The sequence below is a fragment of the Homo sapiens genome, chromosome 9, assembly GCF_000001405.40.
Source record: "Homo sapiens chromosome 9, GRCh38.p14 Primary Assembly".
Classification (NCBI taxonomy): Eukaryota; Metazoa; Chordata; class Mammalia; order Primates; family Hominidae; genus Homo; species Homo sapiens.
In genome coordinates, this window is record NC_000009.12 from 7,705,639 (window position 1) to 7,726,956 (window position 21,318).

The window sequence follows — 21,318 nt, forward strand, 5'->3', positions numbered from 1 at the left end:
TTAACCATAAATGTGCAGGGAAGGGAGTGCTCAAAGACAGCAGTGCCTAGGAAGAAGGGCAGGGGTGCCTCAGGGAGTAAATGTCAAGTATAAGAGACAATATCCTGAGACCTTCAATAATCCCCAAATATCATAGAATTCAACCAATTTTTTCATCTGTAATAGAGATTAAAAATATCAACTTCATAAAGCTGTTGTAAAGTTTAAATTAAATCCTGTATTAAAATGAGAACAAGACCACATGATCTGAATAATGGGATAATGGGTATAAACCAATTTCCTCATCTGTAAAACAGATTTAAAGTGTCAACTTCATTAGCTGTTGTAAAGTTTAAATAAGCTCTTGTATTAAAGTATTAAAGTGAGAAACCACATAGTTTGAATAATGGGATACTGAGTGTACGTTCACTCTTCATGTCAGCACTTTTCCATAAGTCAGTTGCAAACCTATGTTACAGTTTTTGAAATTTAAAGTACACTTTTACTCATACTTACTTAATATTTATCTTGAAAACAACTCACTTTTTTTTACTAAAATAGAGTTAGATGGAAGTAAAGTAATATTGTTACTATAGGTATGCCTATGTCACTTTGATAAATAGAATGTAACTAGAAAATTAAATATCATAGAAACTTTTATCTCCAGTTCACCTGGAGGCCATTTCCATTCTGGTGGAGTGAAAGATTCTAGAATCTTCCTTGCTACCCAAGGCATGGCATTTGGATCAGATCAGTATCATCTGGAAGCTTGTTAGAAATACAGACCCTCAGCCCACCCCACATCTGCTGAATCAGAATGTGCATTTTAACAAAACCCTCAGGTAATTTGTAAGCTTTGTTCCAAAAATTCTCCTTTCCTGCTCCTAGGGCCTACCCCTTTCCACATTAACCCCTTCAAATGTAACCCTCAACTTCTTCCCTCCTTTATCCTTAATACATATTTTGCTTTCAATCCTTTTGCTTTATATAAGCTGAAATGTTGTATTTATAATTTAAATGCAGGGGTGATTTAAATCTTAAATTGGGTCACTTATGTACACATGGATTTTTATCTTTTACAAGCATTCTGCATACCATTAGTGGTGCACATACTACATTTGGAAAAACTGCCTTGCTTCTGTGTTTGTGTTCACCATGTCTCCAGTCATTTATAGGTCCTTGGGGTCAGTCATAAATAGTCAAGACCAGAACTATTAAGTCTATAAGTACCAAGGAGTATTTGTCATATTCCCATTGGCTTGGCTATTCCTATGCCAGAAAAGAGCTTCCAAAGCTTTTTTCAGTTGATGAGCTCTTCTTGCATTTGCTCCTCTATTATGATTCTTTGCTCCAAAGGAATCCCTACTAGTAATTTGGTGGAAAATAATGTACCAGTCATGCTACCTGCATGGCCAGAATATATAAATTCCTATAACTTAATAAAATTGACATCCAGGTCTACACAGTAATCACTGGGAACTAGTTAATATTCATATGGGAGCTTAGATATATTAAAGATTTGTTGCCAAATGACATTTTTGAGCCTACAATGCAGGTTTTACTGTGGACTATAGTAAATGAACCAGGAAAATTCTGTCTGCTAAAAACCTGCTCTAGAAAGATTGGCAGCCAATGACTCCTGGTGCCACCCTTACCCCAAATGTGCTTTTCTTACAAATGTAAACACCAAATTGAGTTGGTTCCAATATATGCCTACTGAAAATAATAAATAATTCATCATCTCAGTCTCACACAGAAATATTAACTTTCTTAAATTTTCAGTGCTTAGCCAACCCTAAGGTGCTCTGAGGCTTCAACTCACCATGGGGCTATCTAAAAATCTTATACCAGCTCATCTCAATTTTGGCCACTTAAAGTCATAGGCCTTCATTAATTCCTGACTCCTAAGCAAGCTTCCTTTATTGAGTGATAAATTCTGGGGGCTGGCAGATATTAGAAATCCATCTGGGCTGCTCCTGTGATAGACAGATACTAAATAATGTAAATTAGGGTAGAAAAAGACTTTGAGGTCAAGAATGAAAGAATCAGAGAACTTGAGAACCAGAAAGGACTCTAGAGATCAGCCAACCTAACCCCTTGGAAAGCTGAGCTACAGAGAGATGAGAATATTGGCTAAGGTCACAGACCTGGTAATTAAGTAGCAGTGGTGGAAAGTATAATCGGGCCTGATGAGAGTGCTTTTACTACAGTGCATTCTTCATCACAGAAGTGCTTTGGACTGATTGCTATTAAATAAAGCAGGGTGGTTAGAGAAACAAAGCAGGAAAGAGAAAAAGAGGATAAAATTTCTGAAGTTGGTTTTCCCTGAAAAAATCTTCAGAGATTGCCCTCACTTTGATAGATAATGTATTCCTCCAGCAATACTCAAGCCGCGCTTTTCCTTTCTCAGCTGCATGGGGTTAAGCTGAAGGCTTTCAGACTTTTCTACGATAACCATGGAAGTATTTTCTAATTACCATTCTGCATTCCTTTTCCATTTATCAGATGGTTTCACCATGCATTGTCTGCTTGACACTTGCTGATTTCATCATCAGCATTAACCTTATTGCCATCTACCTTTTACCATGTCTGACTGCACCATCGCACTGTTTTTTATGGTTCTATTGACAGTCCTCAGGTGCTTATGTTTCCCACCCCATGACATCCCTGTGCCAGTCCCTGGTAGGGTGTTACCAGGGGCTTGGAAGAGAGAAGAGCACACAAATGAGAAAAAAAAAATCCCTGTAGGTTTTACAGGAAAATTGGAATTTTCTCTAAGATTTTTGTGTTGTATAGGAATAAAGAGTTCATTCCTTCTGCTCATTTTTTTAACATGATGTAAAATTTTTTAACACCTAAAACTCACCTTTGCAAGGTTTAGATGTATAGATGTTAAAAACCAAAACCCGGTTTCCACTGGGCGCAGACTATTCTAAATTCATTTCCATTTAAGGGATTAAAAAGGCAAAAAGAAAACATTAAGTGCTCTAGAGGAATTTAAATCTTCCTCCTTCTCAGAGGATTTAATGCTCAGAGTTCTGTTTCTAAATGTTACAGTCTTCAGTATAGTTCAGGAAATCCAGGACCTATTATGTTTAGCTTTTCCAACCTCAAATGACTCCCATTAGGGCTCTGTGGTCTGAAAGAAGGAGATGAAGCCAACCCTCAGAATGGGTTCTATTCTAAAAAACTCTTGATTTATACTCCATCAACTTAAAATAGATGATTTAATTGTTTTTTTAAATGACAGACACATTTTTGGGTTTAGGGGAGAAAGATGTAATCACTATGTTATCTCCCATAAAGACTCATCAAAACCCCAGTGGTTAATGTTGCCCAATATATTAATGGGAGAGCCACATCTGGAATATTGGACTCCATGTCATTCTGATCATGGGTCCTCAAGAAAGATCTAATGGCACTGGAAACAGTTATGAGACATGGCAAGGAAAAATGCCTAAGGAGAAGAAAAATCAAGAAAAAGAGGGCAGACTAAAAAGAAAATAAAAACAAATTAATATACTTGCCTCAAGATGGGTAAGTGTATTTATGTCTAAAACATGATGTGTGCAGAGCACAAATACAGATTTGAAAAAATGTCTTATGTGTCTGCTTGGCATAAGGCTGCATGTTGAGTGATGTGAAGACAATAGAGATGAGTAAGACAAGATTCATATCACAGGGTTATTTGAATGTTAGCATTTTATGTTTAGAAATATAACTTAAATATCAGTGATGCAAGTAGAACACAGCACATGTCTAAGAGATATGAAGGTAAAACATCAGAGTATTTCAGAGGAAGACTAGTGTCCATTGGAAGGACCATGGAAGGCATAATGGCTAAAGTTGTATCTCAAAGTGTGGGTACAACTGGAGAAGCACATATTAGAGACAAGGATGTACGATATAGTGGAGCTACAGAAAACCAAAGATACAGCATCAGTATATTAGTTGAGATAAAGTTTGCAGGGATAACAGATAAATCCCCAAATCTCAGTGATTTAACAGAATAGAAGTTTAATTCTTGTTCCCATAAAGTCCAAAATGGAAATTTTTGTTTAGTTCTGACTATCTGACAAGCGGTGATTGAAGGACCATCTTTTGGCTTCCTCATCTTTAATACCTCCAAGGTCACTGTGCTCACCTACATTAAGCTGGTAAAAGGAGAAAGAGTATGGAAAAAACAGTTTAGGAAATTTCTGTGGCCCAGGCCTGGAAGGTGTACAAATCACTTCTGCTTATATTCTATTAACCAAAACTTAAGCACATGTCCACACCCAAGTGCAAGAGATGCTGGAAAATGTAGTCTAGTGAGAAGAGAAATGTGTGTACCCAGGAAGAAGAGAAAATGGGCTTGATGAATGAATATCCAGCCTGTCTCTTCAACATGTAGGGAGGTCTATATGGAGAAGTAATTCAATTTAATTGAAATAGAGGATGGGAGATGAGGAATCATTTGAGATACAACTGAAGAAGTGAGTTGAGAACAGTTTTATTTTTGATTGATTGATTATTTAATTCATTTATTTAACAAAGTTTATTTAGCCTCTGCTGCATGCCAAATACTATCCTAGGTGTTGAGGATTCAATACGGAATATGTTTAGTGGAAAAGACAGGTATGAGAGCAAGTATTGTAGGCACTATAATAGAGGTATGTGCCAAATGCCATAAAACGCAAAGGAGAGGCAGTAACTCTGATGGGAGAGCTCAGGACTGCCATTGAATCAGAATGACGGTCTTTATATGAGGAGGGTAGATATTAGGGATATGAAGGAAACATCATAGGCAAACACACAGGTACATGGAAAGACATCATGAAGCCACAAAGTTATAGGGAATATGAAAATTTTCACAGAATCCTACTTTATCAGAAACTGGGCCAAACCTATGAACCTAAAATTGTAAATTCAGGACAAAAAGCAAACAACAACAACAACAACAAGAAATGCTACATTTTGCAGTGAATCATAAACCGACAAAACTTTTTTTAATTTAGTGTTTTACTAATAGTACAAGCTAGTGATAGTTACATTTACCACTGGGTTAAAGAGATCAAGGTTGAGAAATTCATATGTCATTCAGAAAAGTAGGAAGGTTTTAGGGGCATATTTCTTGTTCTTTGCAATTAGTGGTTTGCTCAGAATATATTGTTTGAGATTGCTGTCAAAGACAGGGGCTTTGAAGTCAGATAGATTTGGGTTTTAATCATAAATGCAGCCTTTGTTAGTTGTATAGCCTTGGGCATTTTTCCTCTTGGTTTTCCTTGCCTGTAAAATTGGGACATGGATATTATACATTCCAGTTTATCAATTAGTCTTTGTTGACTATAGTTTAGGGGATTAAAGATAATTTAATAGCTCATGGTTCTAAGAGCTGACAATTTGGAGTTGAGTTCAGTGAGATAGTTTTTCTGCTGGCTTCACTTGAACTGATGGATGTGGCTGCATGCAGCTAAGGGTTAACTGGGGACTAGTTGGTCTACAATGGCCATATGTCTTGTGATTTGTGCTGGCTGTTTGTTGGTACTGGTTGTTTGTTAAGGTCATGGGGATGAATATACCACATGTCTCCAATGGGCTAGTTTGGGCTTATTCATATAGCACCAATCTCAACATTCCCAGGAGCATCAACATAGGACATCCCCCAGTGGTCAAGTTTATTACAAGCCTTTGCCTGTATCATGTTATTGTTCTACTAGCCAACACAAGGCACGTTGTCCCATTGGCCAAGCCCAGAGTCAGTGTGAGAGTTGACTACCCAAGGGTGTAGTTACGGAGAGACAAAACCAAATTGGGACTGCAACAATCTACCATATCCAATCGTAGAATTGTGTAGATCAAATAACATAATGTACATAATGATATGTTTATCAAATTTACTGCCATGAAGTAAACATTCAATAAAACAGAAGTGATGAAGATGATGCACGGATCACTGTGAATGTGGCATACCTAATTTTCATTTATAGTTGAAATCAGTATCTCATTGGGGATAGGAGGTCTGGAGGCTAGTCTAGCTTTGTGGTTATGTAATCTTTAGTAGGCAACTGGGGCCAGAGAGACTACGGGTTGTTTAGGCACAACAATGCACAAATGGAAAACACTTTTTGCTAACTGCCTGTCTTTGTTCACACAATTCTAGAAGCTGGATAGTTGAAGATGAATGTGCCAGGAGATTTGGTGACTTATGAAGGCTCATTTCATATATGGTGCCTTTTTACTGTGTCCACACATGGCAGAAAGAAAAGGCAAACATGCACCTTCTGGTCTCTTTCATAAGGGCACTAATCCCATGCATGAGGGATTTCCTCTCATGACCTAATCACTTCTGAAGGTCCCCAACTCTTAATATGATTGCATTAGATATTAGGTTTCAACCTATAAATTTTGGGGAAACACAAACATTCAGACCATAGCACTGCTGCTCCACTAAAACTCTTCTAACCACTGCTTCTGTCTTCCTATCACATCCCACCCTTCTATCCTGTTGATCAATGTCCTTCCCTTGTCCAACCCACCACAGCCACCTTTTTCTACCTACCGTTACAATCACTGCACACATGACTTACCATAGGACTGTTTAGACCATGTCAGATTGCCTAGGTACTTTTTCTTTCGGAATCTGTAACTAGATTTGTTAAAATGCTTATAGATGCATGTAATTAAATAACCAACTGACACAGATTAAACTCTGAGGAATTATTACCTAATTTAATAGCTCTGGGAGAAGTAGTCCCTGAGTTGATTGACTAATGCAGAGGTTCAATAAATGATGTCAGGACTCAGAGATGGCTTATCTGAGATTTTCTTTAGCTTCCCTCAGTGTTATTGAAGATGGCAGCTGCATTTCCAAGCACCCTGCTCTCACAAGACAACATCTAAGGGCAAGAGAGAAAATGCATTTCCTACTTTCCTCTGCTAGCTCTCATTCACTTTATTTATCAGGGAAGTACACTTCTCTCAGAACCTCCTGATATATTTCTCATTGACCAGAATGTAGTCACATGATAACCTCCAAACCAATCAGAGGCAAAAGAGAATAATATTACCTTTATCATAGTTGTAGCAGATTTTTCATGATTTATGTCCTAGAATTAGGAAGGTGCCTATATTTCCTGGGTATACTGTTGCAGAATACATTGTTACAGGCTAATTATTTTTTAAAGGTTTAATCATGACTGTTATGCAGATATAAAATGAATATGTATAAAAGATTTTGTTTAATTCATTAATTAAAGAGGGAACCACAAAAAAAGTTACAACCAGTTCCAAAAAAAAAAAAAAAAAAAAAAAAATCCAGAGAATGCGAAAGTAGTCCAAGATGGCCGAATAGGAACAGCTCCAGTTTGCAGCTTCCAGCGTGATCGACACAGAAGACAGGTGATTCCTGCATTTCCAACTGAGGTACCTGGTTCATCTCATTGGGACTGGTTGGACAGTGGGTGCAGTCCATGGAGGGTGAGCTGAAGCAGGGTGGGGCATCGCCTCACATGGGAAGTGCAAGGGGTCGAGGGATTTCCCTTTCTTAGCCAACAGAAGCCATGACAGACTTACCTGGGAAAGTGGGACACTCCTGCCCAAATACCGCGCTTTTCCCAAGGTCTTAGCAACTGGCAGACAAGGAGATTCTCTACTGTGCCTGACTTGGCAGGTCCCACACCCATGGAGCCTTGCTCACTGCTAGCGCAGCAGTCTGAGATCAAACTGCGAGGCGACAGCCTGGCTGGGGGAGGGGCGTCCACCATTGCTGTGGCTTGAGTAGGTAAACAAAGTGGCTGGGAAGCTCAAACTGGGTGGAGACCACTGCAGCTCAACAAGGCCCACTGCCTCTAGACTCCACCTCTGTGGGCAGGGCATAGCTGAACAAAAGGCAGCAGACAACTTCTGCAGACTTAAACATCCCTATCTGACAGATCTGAAAAGAGCAGTGGTTCTCCCAGCAAGGCATTTGAGCCCTGAGAATGGACATACTGCTTCCTCAAGTGGGTCCCTGACCCCCGTGTAGCCTAACTGGGAGACACCTCCCAGTAGGGGCCAACAGACACCTCATATAGGCGGTTCCCCCTCTGAGACGAAGCTTCCAGAGGAAGGATCAGGCAGCAGTATTTGCTGTTCTGCAGCCTCTGCTGGTGATACCCAGGAAAAAGGGTCTGGAGTGGACCTCCAGAAAACTCTAACAGACCTGCAACTGAGGAACCTGAATGTTAGAAGGAAAACTAACAAACAGAATGGAATAGCATCAACATCAACAAAAAGGTCATCTACACCAAAACCCCATCTGTAGGTCACCAACATCAAAGACCAAAGGTAGATAAAACCACAAAGATGGGGAGAAACCAGAGCAGAAAAGCTGAAAATTCTAAAAACCAGAGGGCTTCTTCTCCTCCAAAGGCTCGCAGCTCCTCACCAGCAACAGAACAAAGCTGGGTGGAGAATGACTTTGATGAGTTGAAAGAAGCAGGCTTCAGAAGATCGGTAATAACAAAACTTCTCCAAGCTAAAGGAGCATGCTCTAGACCATCGCAAGGAAGCTAAAAACCTTGAAAAAAGATTAGGCGAATGGCTAACTAGAATAAACTGGGTAGAGAAGACCTTAAATGACCCGAGGGAGCTGAAAACCATGGCACGAGAACTTCGTGATGCATGCACAAGCTTCAATAGCTGATTCAATCAAGTGGAAGAAAGGGTATCAGTGATTGAAGATCAAATTAATGAAATAAAGCAAGAAGACAAGGTTAGAGATAAAAAGAGAAAAGAAATGAACAAAGCCTCCAAGAAATATGGAAAAAGTCTAAATCTGTGTTTGATTGGTGTACCTGAAAGTGATGGGGAGAATAGAACCAAGTTGGGAAACACTCTTCAGGATATTATCCAGGAGAACTTCCCCAACCTAGCAAGGCAGGCCAACATTCAAATTCAGGAAATACAGAGAACACCACAAAGATACTCCTCGAGAAGAGCAACCCAAAGACACATAATTGTCAGATTCACCAAGGTTGAAATGAAGGGAAAAGTGTTAAGGGCAGCCAGAGAGAAAGATCAGGTTACCCACAAAGGGAAGCCCATCATACTAACAATGGATCCCTCAGCAGAAACCCTACAAGCCAGAAGAGAGTGGGGGCCAATATTCAACATTCTTAAAGGAAAGAATTTTCAACCCAGAATTTCATATCTAGCCAAACTAAGCTTCATAAGTGAAGGAGAAATAAAATCCTTTACAGACAAGCAAATGCTGAGAGATTTTTTTACCACTAGGCCTGCCTTACAAGAGTAACTGAAGGAAACACTAAACATGGAAAGGAACAACTGGTACCAGTCACTGCAAAAACATGCCAAATTGTAAAGAACATCGATGCTAGGAAGCAACTGCATCAATTAACAGGCAAATAACCAGCAAACATCATAATGACAGGATCAAATTAACACACAACAATATTAACCTTAAATGTAAATGGACTAAATGCCCCAATTAAAAGACACAGACTGGCAAATTGAATAAACAGTCAAGACCCATCAGTGTGCTGTATTCAGGAGACCCATCTCACCTGCAAAGACACACATAGGCTCAAAATAAAGGGATGGAGGAAGATCTACCAAGCAAATGGAAAGCAAAAAAAAAGCAGAGACCAATCTTGGTCTCTGATAAACCAGACTTTAAACCAACAAAGATCAAAAGAGACAAAGAAGGCTATTACATAATGGAAAAGGGATCAATTCAACAAGAAGAGCTAACTATCCTAAATATATATGCACCCAATACAGGAGCACCCAGTTTCATAAAGCAAGTCCTGAGAGACCCACAAAGAGACTTAGACTCCCACACAATAATAATGGGAGACTTTAACACCCCACTGTCAATATTAGACAGATTAACGAGACAGAAGGTTAACAAGGATATCCAGGACTTGAACTTAGCTCTGCACTAAGCAGACCGAATAGACATCTACAGAACTCTCCACCTCAACTCAAGAGAATATACATTCTTCTGAGCATTACATCACACTTATTCTAAAATTAATCACATAAATGGAAGTAAAGCACTCCTCAGTAAATATAAAAGAACAGAAATCACAACAAACTGTCTCTCAGACCACAGTGCAATAAATTACAACTCAGCATTAAGAAACTCACTCAAAACTGCACAACTACATGGAAACAGAACAACTTGCTCCTGAATGACTACTGGGTAAATAATGAAATGAAGGCAGAAATAAAGATGTTCTTTGAAACCAATGAGAACAAAGACACAACATACCAGAATCTCTGGGACACATTAAAGCAGTGTGGAGAGGGAAATTTATAGCACGAAATGCCCACAAGAGAAAGCAGGAAAGATCTGAAATCGACACCCTAACATCACAATTAAAAGAACTAGAGAATCAAGAGCAAACAAATTCAAAAGCTAGCAGAAGGCAAGAAATAACTAAGAACAGAGCAGAACTGAGAGATAGAGACACAAAAAACCTTTCAAAAAATCAATGAATCCAGGAGCTGGTTTTTTGAAAAGATCAACAAAATTGATAGAGTGCTAGCAAGAATAATAAAAAAGAAGTGAGAGAAGAATCAAATAGACGCAACAAAAAATGATAAAGGGGATTACACCACCGATCCCACAGAAATACAAACTACCATCAGAGAATACTATAAACACCTCTATACAAATAAACTATAAAATCTAGAAGAAATGGATAAATTCCTGGACACATACACCCCCCGAGACTAAACCAGGAAGAAGTCGAACCCCTGAATAGACCAATAACAGGTTCTGAAATTGAGGCAGTAATTAATAGCCCACCAACCAAAAAACATCCAGGACCAGACGGATTCACAGCCGAATTCTATCAGAGGTACAAAGAGGAGCTGGTACCATTCCTTCTAAAACTATTCTAATCAATAGAAAAAGGGAGAATTTTCCCTAAGTCATTTTATGATGCCAGCATCATCCTGATACCAAAGCCGGGCAGAGACACAACAACAAAAAAAAGAGAATTTTAGACCAATATCCCTGATGAACATTGATGCGAAAATCCTCAATAAAATACTGGCAAACCGAATCCAGCAGCACATCAAAAAGCTTATCCACCAAGATCAAGTCAGCTTCATCCCTGGGATGCAAGGCTGGTTCAACATATGCAAACCAATAAACGTAATGCATCACATAAACAGAACCAGCAACAAAAACCACATGATTATCTCAATAGATGCAGAAAAGGCCTTTGACAAAATTCATGCTAAAAGCTCTCAATCAACAAGGTGTCGATGGAACATATCTCAAACTAATAAGAGCTATTTATGACAAACTCACAGCCAATATCATACTGAAGGGGTAAAAACTGGAAGCATTCCCTTTGAAAACCAGCACGAGGCAGGGACGCCCTCTCTCACCACTCCTATTCAACATAGTATTGGAAGTTCTGGCCAGGGCAATCAGGCAAGAGAAAGAAATAATGGGTATTCAATTAGGAAAAGAGGAAGTCAAATTGTCTCTGTTTGCAGATGACATGATTATATATTTAGAAAACCCCATCTTCTCAGCCCAAAATCTCCTTAAGCTGATAAGCAACTTTAGCAAAGTCTCAGGATACAAAATCAATGTGCAAAAATCACAAGCATTCCTATACACCAAGAACAGACAGACAGCCAAATCATGAGTGAGCTCCCATTCACAGTTACTACAAAAGAATAAAATACCTAGGAATCCAACTTGTGAAGGATATGAAGGACCACTTCAAGGAGAACTAAAAACCACTGCTCAAGGAAATAAAAGAGGACACAAACAAATGGAAGAATATTCCATGCTCAAGGATAGGAAGAATCAATATCGTGAAAATGGTCATACTGCCCAAAGTAATTTATAGATTCAATGCCATCCCCATCAAGCTACCAATGACTTTCTTCACAGAATTGGAAAAGACTACTTTAAAGTCATATGGTACCAAAAAAGAGCCCGCATTGCCAAGAGAATCCTAAGGAAAAAGAACAAAGCTGGAGGCATCACGCTACCTGATTTCAAACTATACCACAAGGCTACACTAACCAAAACAGCATGGTACTGGTACCAAGACAGCATGGTACTGGTACCAAAACAGAGATATAGACCAATGGAACAGAACAGAGGCCTCAGAAATAACACCACACATCTACAACCATCTGATCTTTGACAAACCTGACAAAAACAAGAAATGGGGAAAGGATTCCTTATTTAATAAATTGCATTGGGACAACTGGCTAGCCGTATGTAGAAAGCTGAAACTGGACCCCTTCCTTATACCTCATACAAAAATTAATTCAAGATGGATTAAAGACTTAAATGTTAGACCTAAAACCATAAAAACTCTAGAAGAAAACCTAGGCAATGCCATTCAGGACATAGGCATGGGCAAGGACTTCATGACTAAAACACCAAAAGCAGTGGCAACAAAAGCCAAAATAGACAAATGGGATCTAATTAAACTAAAGAGCTTCTGCATGGCAAAAGAAACTACCATCAGAGTGAACGGGCAACCTACAGAATGGGAGAAAATTTTTGCAATCTACCCATCTGACAAAAAGCTAATATCCAAAATCACCAAATACTCAAATTTGCAAGAATAAAACAACCCCATCAAAAGTGGGCAAAGGATATGAACAGACACTTCTCAAAAGAAGACATCTATGCAGCCAACAGACACATGAAAAAATGCTCATCATCACTGGTCATCAGAAAAATGGAAATCAAAACCACAGTGAGGTACCATCTCACACCAGTTAGAATGGAGATCATTAAAAAGTCAGGAAACAACAGATGCTGGAGAGGATGTGGAGAAATAGGAACACTTTTATACTGTTGATGGGAGTGTAAATTAGTTCATCCATTGTGGAAGACAGTGTGGCAATTCCTCAAGGATCTAGAACTAGAATTACTATTTGACCCAGCAATCCCATTACTGGGTATATACCCAAAGGATTATAAATCATGCTACCATAAAGACACATGCACACATATGTTTATTACTGCACTATTCACAATAGCAAAGACTTGGAACCAACCCAAATGTCCATCAATGATAGACTGGATTAAGAAAATGTGGCACATATACTCCATGGAATACTATGCACCCATTAAAAAGAATGAGTTCATGTCCTTTGCAGGGACATGGATGAAGCTAGAAACCATCATTCTCAGCAAACTGTCACAAGGACAGAAAGCTAAACACTGCATGTTCTCACCCATAGGTGGGAACTGAACAATGAGATCCCTTGGACACAGGGTGGGGAATATCATACACCGGGGCCTGTTGGGGGATAGCATTAGGAGAAATACCTAATGTAAATGATGAGTTGATGGGGGCAGCAAACCAACGTGGCACATGCATACCTATGTATCAAACCTGTACATTGTACCCATTTACCCTAGCACTTAAAGTATAATAAAAAAAATTAAAAAATATATATATTTTTAAATAATCGAAAGAACAAACAAACAAATACAGAAGATGATTGCTTGGGCCAGGCACCGTGGCTCATGCCTGTAATCCCAGCATTTTGGGAGGCTGAGGTGGGTGGGTACCTTGAGGTCAGGAGTTCGAGACCAGCCTGGCCAACATGGTGAAACCCCATCGCTACTAAAAATACAAAAATTACCCGGGCATGGTGGGCGCACACCTGCAATCCCAGCTATTTGGGAGGCTGAGGCGGGATAATTGCTTGAACCCAGGAGGTGGAGGTAGCAGTGAGCCGAGATCACAGCACTGCACTCCAGCCTGGGCAACAGAGTGAAAAATGAAAAAAAAAAGATGATTGCTGAAATGAATTTATTTAATCAATGTAAAGTTAGCTTCTTTTTACTGTGGGGAAAGAAAGTCAATTGAACCTCAATTGAATATAATTTATGTGTATATTTATAAACAAGAAATATTTGTCTTTCACCAGTTTTCTACAAATTAATGTCTGTCTCGGCAGGATTGTAAAATAGCTCAAAGATGATGAAAGGCACAAATAACACAAAGTAGATAGGTGGAAGAGTAAGCTCCAAACAACACTTAGTTTTCAATAGAAAGTCCCTCATAGTCTTTTGATCCACTTAAAATTCTTTCAATTTATCCTTACAACACAAACCAAATCAGATTTTCTTAACAAGAAATAGAGGGGAAATGTCTGCAGTACAGACAACCCAGAGTGTCTGCCACAAACACATTGCTAGAAATTAAGAGAGAAATAAACATATCCTAATTTGCAGTGAGATTTAACACCTCCTTAGACAGATCACATTGGCTACAAATGATAACCAAGCAATATTGGTTGAGGCAGAGAAAGCCTGGCGATTGGCCCTGAGTTTAAGCCTGAGTTTGCAGCACGTGGGGCAGCCACTTGCTATCTCTACCCCTGAGGACTTGACTGAATTGCAGGATAGGAATTTTAGCCAGAGGTACTTCTGCCATGAGGGGCAAGACCATGGGTGATTCCCTTTTGGAAGCTGCAGGATTTAATTTTTCTCATGTATATGACCATTCTGTGTTCTAATTCCCACGCCCATCCTTGGCTCTTTGTGCACTTAGTATAAATTGAATTCCAAGGAAATTATACCAGGGATCACATACTATTCATTTCAGTCTGTTGACAGGCAATTTTTCTGTAGTACCCTGCTGCGGGATTTGATAGTGAGTTGGGGTGGTGTGAAAATGTGATATCTGATATTCTTACAGCATTTGTCCCCAATCTGGTGTTTATGGGCTGTTTTCTTCCTATGTCTTATACAGTTTGGGATACTATATTTTTGTACCTTAATTAGTTTCAAAATTAATAAACTACGTTTTTTTTTCCTTTAAAGTTCTAAGCCACACACTGTACTTGCCAGCACTGCTTGTGGCACTGCAAGCCTGTCATATGAGAGGAATCTAGTCAGGTTTTTGCTAAGCACTACATTTCACGCACACACTTCTGATTTTTGTCTGTGAGTAAATTGCTCCTTGAGAAAAAATTGCTCACATTTTAGAGTAATAAAAATTCTTTTGCATTGTTACATTGTAACTATATACACGCCCATTGACCATTTCCAAGATGAGGTGCAGTCCTACCTTTGAAGCACTGCTTTTTCTGGGCCAGCGGCTCTAAACCTCCAGTGTGCATTATAATCTCACAGGAGGCTCATTAAAACACAGATGGCTGGGCCCCACCACCAGTTTCTGTTGTAAAAGTCTGGATGGGACCAACAGTTGGCATTTCTGACAAGTTCCTAGGTGCTGCTGATGTTGCTGGTTTGGGGTCCAGAATTTGAGAACCACTGCTCTGGACCATGCACCTTCAGGTCTGAAAAGATTGTCTCTGTCCAGAAGACAGCCACAGATCTACGTATCAGAGAAAAAAGAACCAATTGGATTATCACTAGGGAGTATTTTCAGGCCTTCCAAAGAAAGCCTATTTGTCATCCCTCCATTATTTCACTCAATGCAAATATTGATATGAATAGTCCAAAATGGCAGATCACTGAAAATCATCATATTGGAATCACTCTAGGGCTTCCAGCTAATTGCTGATGCATCATATGGACAGGAGAAAGTATCTGAGCTGAAGACATGCAGACCCATAAACCTATTACTGTTATTAGTGGCAGGTTGCTTTGAGCCCTAATCTTCCATGGATCTGATTCTATTCAGAGGTTCAAATGGTGTCTCAGGCCCATCTGCTGATGTGGACCTCTAGAGTAAAAGGGCCTACCAAGAAGAAGGGACCATACCTACCTCCAAGGCCATGGCTACAGTTTTGTCAACCATGATGTCAAAGGATGAAAAGAAGAGCCAAGTAACATTTCAAGGGATTCAAAACTGCATGACTGGGATAGGATTAATCTGATTAACAGGGTGTTAACCTTGTCTCTTGACAGAGCTGCTGTGGGCTTACTAATGATCTCCAGCTGCCAGACCCTGTTTTACATGCTCTCACACCTGTGCCCTCAGCATTATTTCAGCACCAAAGTTCCTCAATTGAAGGATAAATGCTGTCTCCACCTTTGCAGTGGAAACGTTGGGGGCTTTCCTAGGAAGTGTTCCATCTGTGTAACTAGGAAACCTGCCTCCGCTTAACCTTAGACATCTGAAAGGGTCACAGAAGAAAGGCAGAATACTGTAGGTTTCACCACAGAGTATTAGAGGCCCATGCCAAGTTTATGGCAAGCAGACAGGAGAGCAGAGACCATTTGAAGTGGAAGCTATTGCCTCCTGTTGTGGTCAGTTGCATATGTGTGTATATCTGTCTCTTTTCCAAGGCTGAGCTCTTAAGCTCAGTCTTCCAACTTTGCCTTATTGAGTTTATCTATAATGATATTTTGTCTTCATATTGACTTATAAAATAATAAGCCCATAGATTCATAATAATCTGTTTCTTTTTGCCCTTCTCCCTCCTTTCTAGGTCTTTGTAGACAGGACCTGGAACAGAAGAGGTGCTTTACAAAGGTCTTCTGAGTGGATAAATAAATGGATGGCTGAATGCTGTTTTGAGCATTAAGGTAAATATAAGAGCTATTCTCTTGGTTTGCCTGTCTTTCTCAGAAAACTCCCTAGAATCAATAAAGTTGTTAATAAAAAGTAAATGAATGACTTATATGAAAACGGAAAGTTGCATGAAGGCTCGGAAACGCCATTGCCTCAATAAAGAGCCATTGAATGGATGGAAAAATAACTTCAGTGAAGTTTCAGTGAAAACAGAATTATTTTGTAGCTGACAAAACTAATGTCAATTTCTGAGTCCTGATAAATTTTCATTGCATCCCCAAAGTAACTATGCAATAAAAAAATAAGTACACAGCTTCTCCTGATCTTGATTTTTATGAGTTATACATGTTTATTTCTTTGTTTAATAATAATAATAATAGCTAACCTTGATTGAGCACTAAAACCCAGACCCTGTTCAAGCTTTTTAAAAATTTAATACTCAACATCAATCTGAGATGTTACAACAATTAACCTCAGAAATAATGAAGAATTTACTGAAGGGCATCTAGTTGATGATGGCTGGAGGCAGGATTTTTTTTTTTTTTTTTTTTACTGTTATTTTAAGTTCAGGAGTACACGTGCAGGATGTGCAAACTTGTTACATAGGTAAATGTGTGTCATGGGGGTTGGTTGTACAGATTATTTCATCGCCCGTGTATTAAGCCTAGTATCCATTAGTTATTTTTCCTAGTTCCCTCCCTCCTCCCACCCTTTATCCTCCAATAGACCTCAGTGTGTGTTATTCCCCTCTATGTGTCTGTGTGTTCTCATTATTTAGCTCCCACTTATAAGTGAGAACATGAAGTATTTCATTTTCTGTTTCTGTGTTAGTTTGCTAAGGGTAATAGCCTCTATCTCCATCCATGTCCCTGCAAAGGACATAATCTCATTTTTATGGCTGCATAGTATTCCATGGTGTATATGTACTACCATATTTTCTTTATCCAGTCTATCACAGTTGGGCATTTAGGTTGATTCCATGTCTTTGCTATTGTGAATAGTGCAGCAATGAACATATGTGTGCATGTGTCTTTATAATGGAATGATTTATATTCCTTTGGGTATATACCCAGTAATGGCATTGCTGGGTTAAATGGTAGTTCTCTAGGTCTTTGAGGAATTGCCACACTGTCTTCCACAATGGTTGAACTAATTTACACTCCCCCCAACAGCATAAAAGTATTCCTTTTACTCTACAACCTTGACAGCATCTGTTTTTTTTTTTTTTTTTTGACTTTTTAGTAGTAGCCATTCTGACTGGTGTGAGATGGTATCTCATTGTGGTTTTGATTTGCATTTCTCTAATGATCAGTGATATTGAGCTTTTTCTCATGTGATTGTTGGCTGCATGTGTGTCTTCTTTTGAGAAGTGTCTGTTGATATCCTTTGCCCACGTTTTAATGGGGTTTGATTTTTTTCTTTTAATTTTTTTTTTAAGTTCTGGAGGCAGGATTTGTGCCCCAGTGTCATGCTCCATGTTACCACATTATACCAGAGGCATTGATGGTGCGGAGCCTTTGGGGAAACATCTTGAGGTGGGCTGAATAATGGCCCCCTAAGGATGTATGTTCTAATCCCCGCAGCCTCTGAATGTATTACCTTACATGGTAAAGGGGATTTAGGAGTCGTGATTAATTTAAGGCTTTTGAGGTAGGTAGATTATCCTAGATTATGGGGAGGGGCCTCATGTACTCACAAGGGTCCTTATAAGAGTGGGGCAGGAGGGTCAGAGTAATGAGAGTAAGAGAAGGCCATGTGATAACAAGTAGGGGGTCAGAGTGATGTGGAACTATGAGCTGAGACATTCAGGCAGCCTCTGAAAGCTGAAAAAAGACAAGGAAGAAATGCTGTCCCAGCTGGCCCATTTTGGACTTCTAACCTCCAGGGCCATAAGATAATAAATTTGTGTTGTTTTAAGCTGCTACATGGTGATTTATTACAAGTATTTATTTTGGGTAACATGTTACAGCAGTCATAGGAAACAAATTCACAGCTGATGTAACCTGGTGATGTTCACACTCTGCCCTTGGTATGAAGATGCTAGCACAAGGTCCCAAATCTACTGCTTCAAATGCTTCACAGACCTTACTCTGGAGAGAAATACCCTGTTGATTTTGAGGCTTCCCAAATTTGCCTGCTGCTTTATTTATCAGTACATAAATACATGCCATTTCAGAAAGTAGATGCCATTCCCCAGCACATTCACAGCAATCAAAATAGCAAACAGACTGAAAATTGCCATAATAGCACTTATTCTTGTCCTCACTTTGACTTATAAAATAACATGCTCAGATTTGTAAAAATCTCTGCTTTTCTTTGCTTCCTCCCTTCTTTCTGGATCTTTCTTTTTCCTCTTCACTAAGAAATTAAGCCCCTTAGCAGGTTTATTCAGTGACAATACTGTGAACATCATTTTTTTGTTTACCATAGAGCATGATTTTTTCCCTTTTAATTATTGTGATACATGTGTTTGGTTAGAAACAAATATAACTTTGAAAGTGGCAAACATAAACATGAGGAATACAGCTATAAATTAATTTTTCCTCTAATTTAGGGGTAAAATGGTTGGACCCTATTTGAGTATATCACAATTATACAGTAGAGAAAATAGGATTGGTTTAAGCTTAAAAAGAAGAAAATTAATATATCTGGACATTATTATACATCTACTGTTTTATGTATGCTATCATGTTACTTCTCACAAACTGGAAATACTAGGTTTTATGCCCATGTTTTGGATGATGAAACTCAGAAAGTAAAATAACTTGTACAAGACCTCACAGTGCCAAAAAGAAAAGCCACATATTCACAGATGCCTCGATTACTGAAAACCCCATCAAGAGCTGGTTTCTGTCCTATGCCACCTCCAAGATAAAGAGTCTTTTCCTCACTGACCATCACCGGGTAATTTTCTGAGCGCTCCCTGACACTTGGGAGCAGGTGGGGCCTTTAGAACCATGGATCCTTCTTCTTCTGCTTCTTCTATTCACGCCATTTTCCTCCTAGTTGGAAGTTATATGTCTGCCTTCCCCATCACTCTGCCATTTCAATATTTTCTCTTGTCCTTTAAGTTGTGGAAGGTGGCCTTGCCCATGGACTCAAACTCCTGCCTTCATTCTGTGACCTTGTGGACATGTCATGTTTGGTAGAGTTAAACATTTTGTGGAGAAGGCCTTTGTGGTATTACCAGGGCAGACCTTGGCCATCCACATTATGGTACACCCAAAAATATGGTGGTCTCTCATCCGTCGGTGAAGTCAGATTGTTCCCCTTGGTATTCCTTGATATTCACTTGAAACATTGGTGCCCATTACAAATATATATGGTAAGGATGATACTTTTATAATGCCACCAGATTTTGGTGCATACAAAAAGGCAGAGTATAAATTTGTTTAAGCAAGTATTGGGGGAGAGAAGAAGAGAAATAGTGAGATGAGGAGCAGGCATAACAGGGGGTTTTAGTAGGAAAAAGAAAAGCTTCATGATTTCATGTTTAGCAAAGTTAGTTAAGACTAAGTACACTTGGAAGTGCAGCAAATACACAGTTCCACTGACAAGCATGGGGTTATATTTTCCACTGCCCTATGCCTGTATAGACCTCAATATTGCCTAAAACCAAAATGCAGTCCTGAAGACAGGAGAAAGAACACATGGCAGACAAGTCAAGTAGGCTCTTGCCTGACCCATGGACCACTTTATCCAGGCTCTCTTGAACTCATCTCACTGGGTTTAGCCAGTGAAAGGCACCAGTGGGAGGACAGAGAAGTTGAGGCATTTATTTCCCGCTCCCTTCCTGTTCCATGCTGTGGTTTTGGTGATGTTTCTATTCTTCAGTTAATATAGATATTAGTCCCACCCCCACAGATCTATCTCTCACTGGGCTTCAGTAACACTGTTTCTTTCCTTTTTCCCTTCACGTATAGAAAAAGTAATGACTTTCCATGATTGCTAATCTCTGGGTGCCTCAGCTTCCCTTGTTGGTCACCTTAACTTGCTGACTGTTAATGCAAATAGCCCTCCATTAAAATTTCTTTAGCTGAAGCTCTATAATTCTGCTTCTTGCTGATACCCTGACTGAAGCACAAGTAATTCTTTTTCTCAAAAAACTACCCAGAATCTTCTGAAGAGTTTCCCAGCAACCACGATTGTTTCATTTTTCGGTTTTGTCCCAGCTTTAGAGCTAGTGATGTTTTTATACATTTTTCCTTAACCAATCTTGTTTGCTTATTTTCCTTAGTTTCTTTTTTGCTCATTTTTTGTTGTAAATGAAAAAATAACTTCACCTGTTCCACAGGAAAAACATAAGGCAAAATAGAACTTTGTTAAAAATGACATGATTTTGTTCCCCTGGAGGGTTAAATCAGTGACACCCCTGGAAATTATCTGTGCCTATTCATAGCCCTGTTGTATACAACTCTCTTGCCGTAGGGCAAAATTTCTGTGACAGGACTTTTCCTTGCCATATAACATCAGGGTCACAGTGGAGTTCCACTGTGCTTGTTTTAGATCCTACAATGTCATTTTTATGGCTTCGCAATACCCATGTCCCTAAATGTCCCAGACATCTTTAGAGAGTTTAACATAGCCATCAGCAATAAAGTGTTGTAAAGACTTGGACTCTTACCTCAACCAGGCAAAAGCTTGATTAGAAAGATCTTGTGCTAGCTCTGAAGGTCCGTATTTATGGCACTATATTATTTATAAATAATGTGAGAATTATGATAGCAATAAAAGCTAGCATTCCAAAGAATGGGCATATTAGTGATGGCTAAATTATGGTGACATTGAGATCATAGGTCACATCTGAAGTTTCACTGCAAACCAGTGGAAAATTACCACCAACTTGACTGCAAAGCTACAGGAAAATCTT

The 21,318-nt window shown here is 39.2% G+C and overlaps 1 long non-coding RNA gene across 1 annotated transcript in view, besides 1 other annotated feature; it reads left to right on the forward strand.

Annotated features, from left to right (window-relative positions):
* Positions 1-16,462, forward strand: part of LOC124902118 (uncharacterized) — a 65,144-nt gene extending 48,682 nt beyond the window's left edge. The window contains exon 3 of the long non-coding RNA XR_007061415.1: positions 16,366-16,462. This is a non-coding gene — a long non-coding RNA (uncharacterized LOC124902118). The remainder of the gene's footprint in view (positions 1-16,365) is intronic.
* Positions 7,166-8,365: an enhancer, noted in NCBI's record as "BRD4-independent group 4 enhancer chr9:7712804-7714003 (GRCh37/hg19 assembly coordinates)". NCBI's record gives its function as "activates an origin of replication core promoter dependent on BRD2, P300/CBP, MED14 and CDK7 cofactors, and independent of BRD4, by STARR-seq in HCT116 cells {active_cell/tissue: HCT116}" and the evidence as "EXISTENCE:reporter gene assay evidence [ECO:0000049][PMID:35650434]".
* Positions 16,463-21,318: the final 4,856 nt, after the last annotated feature.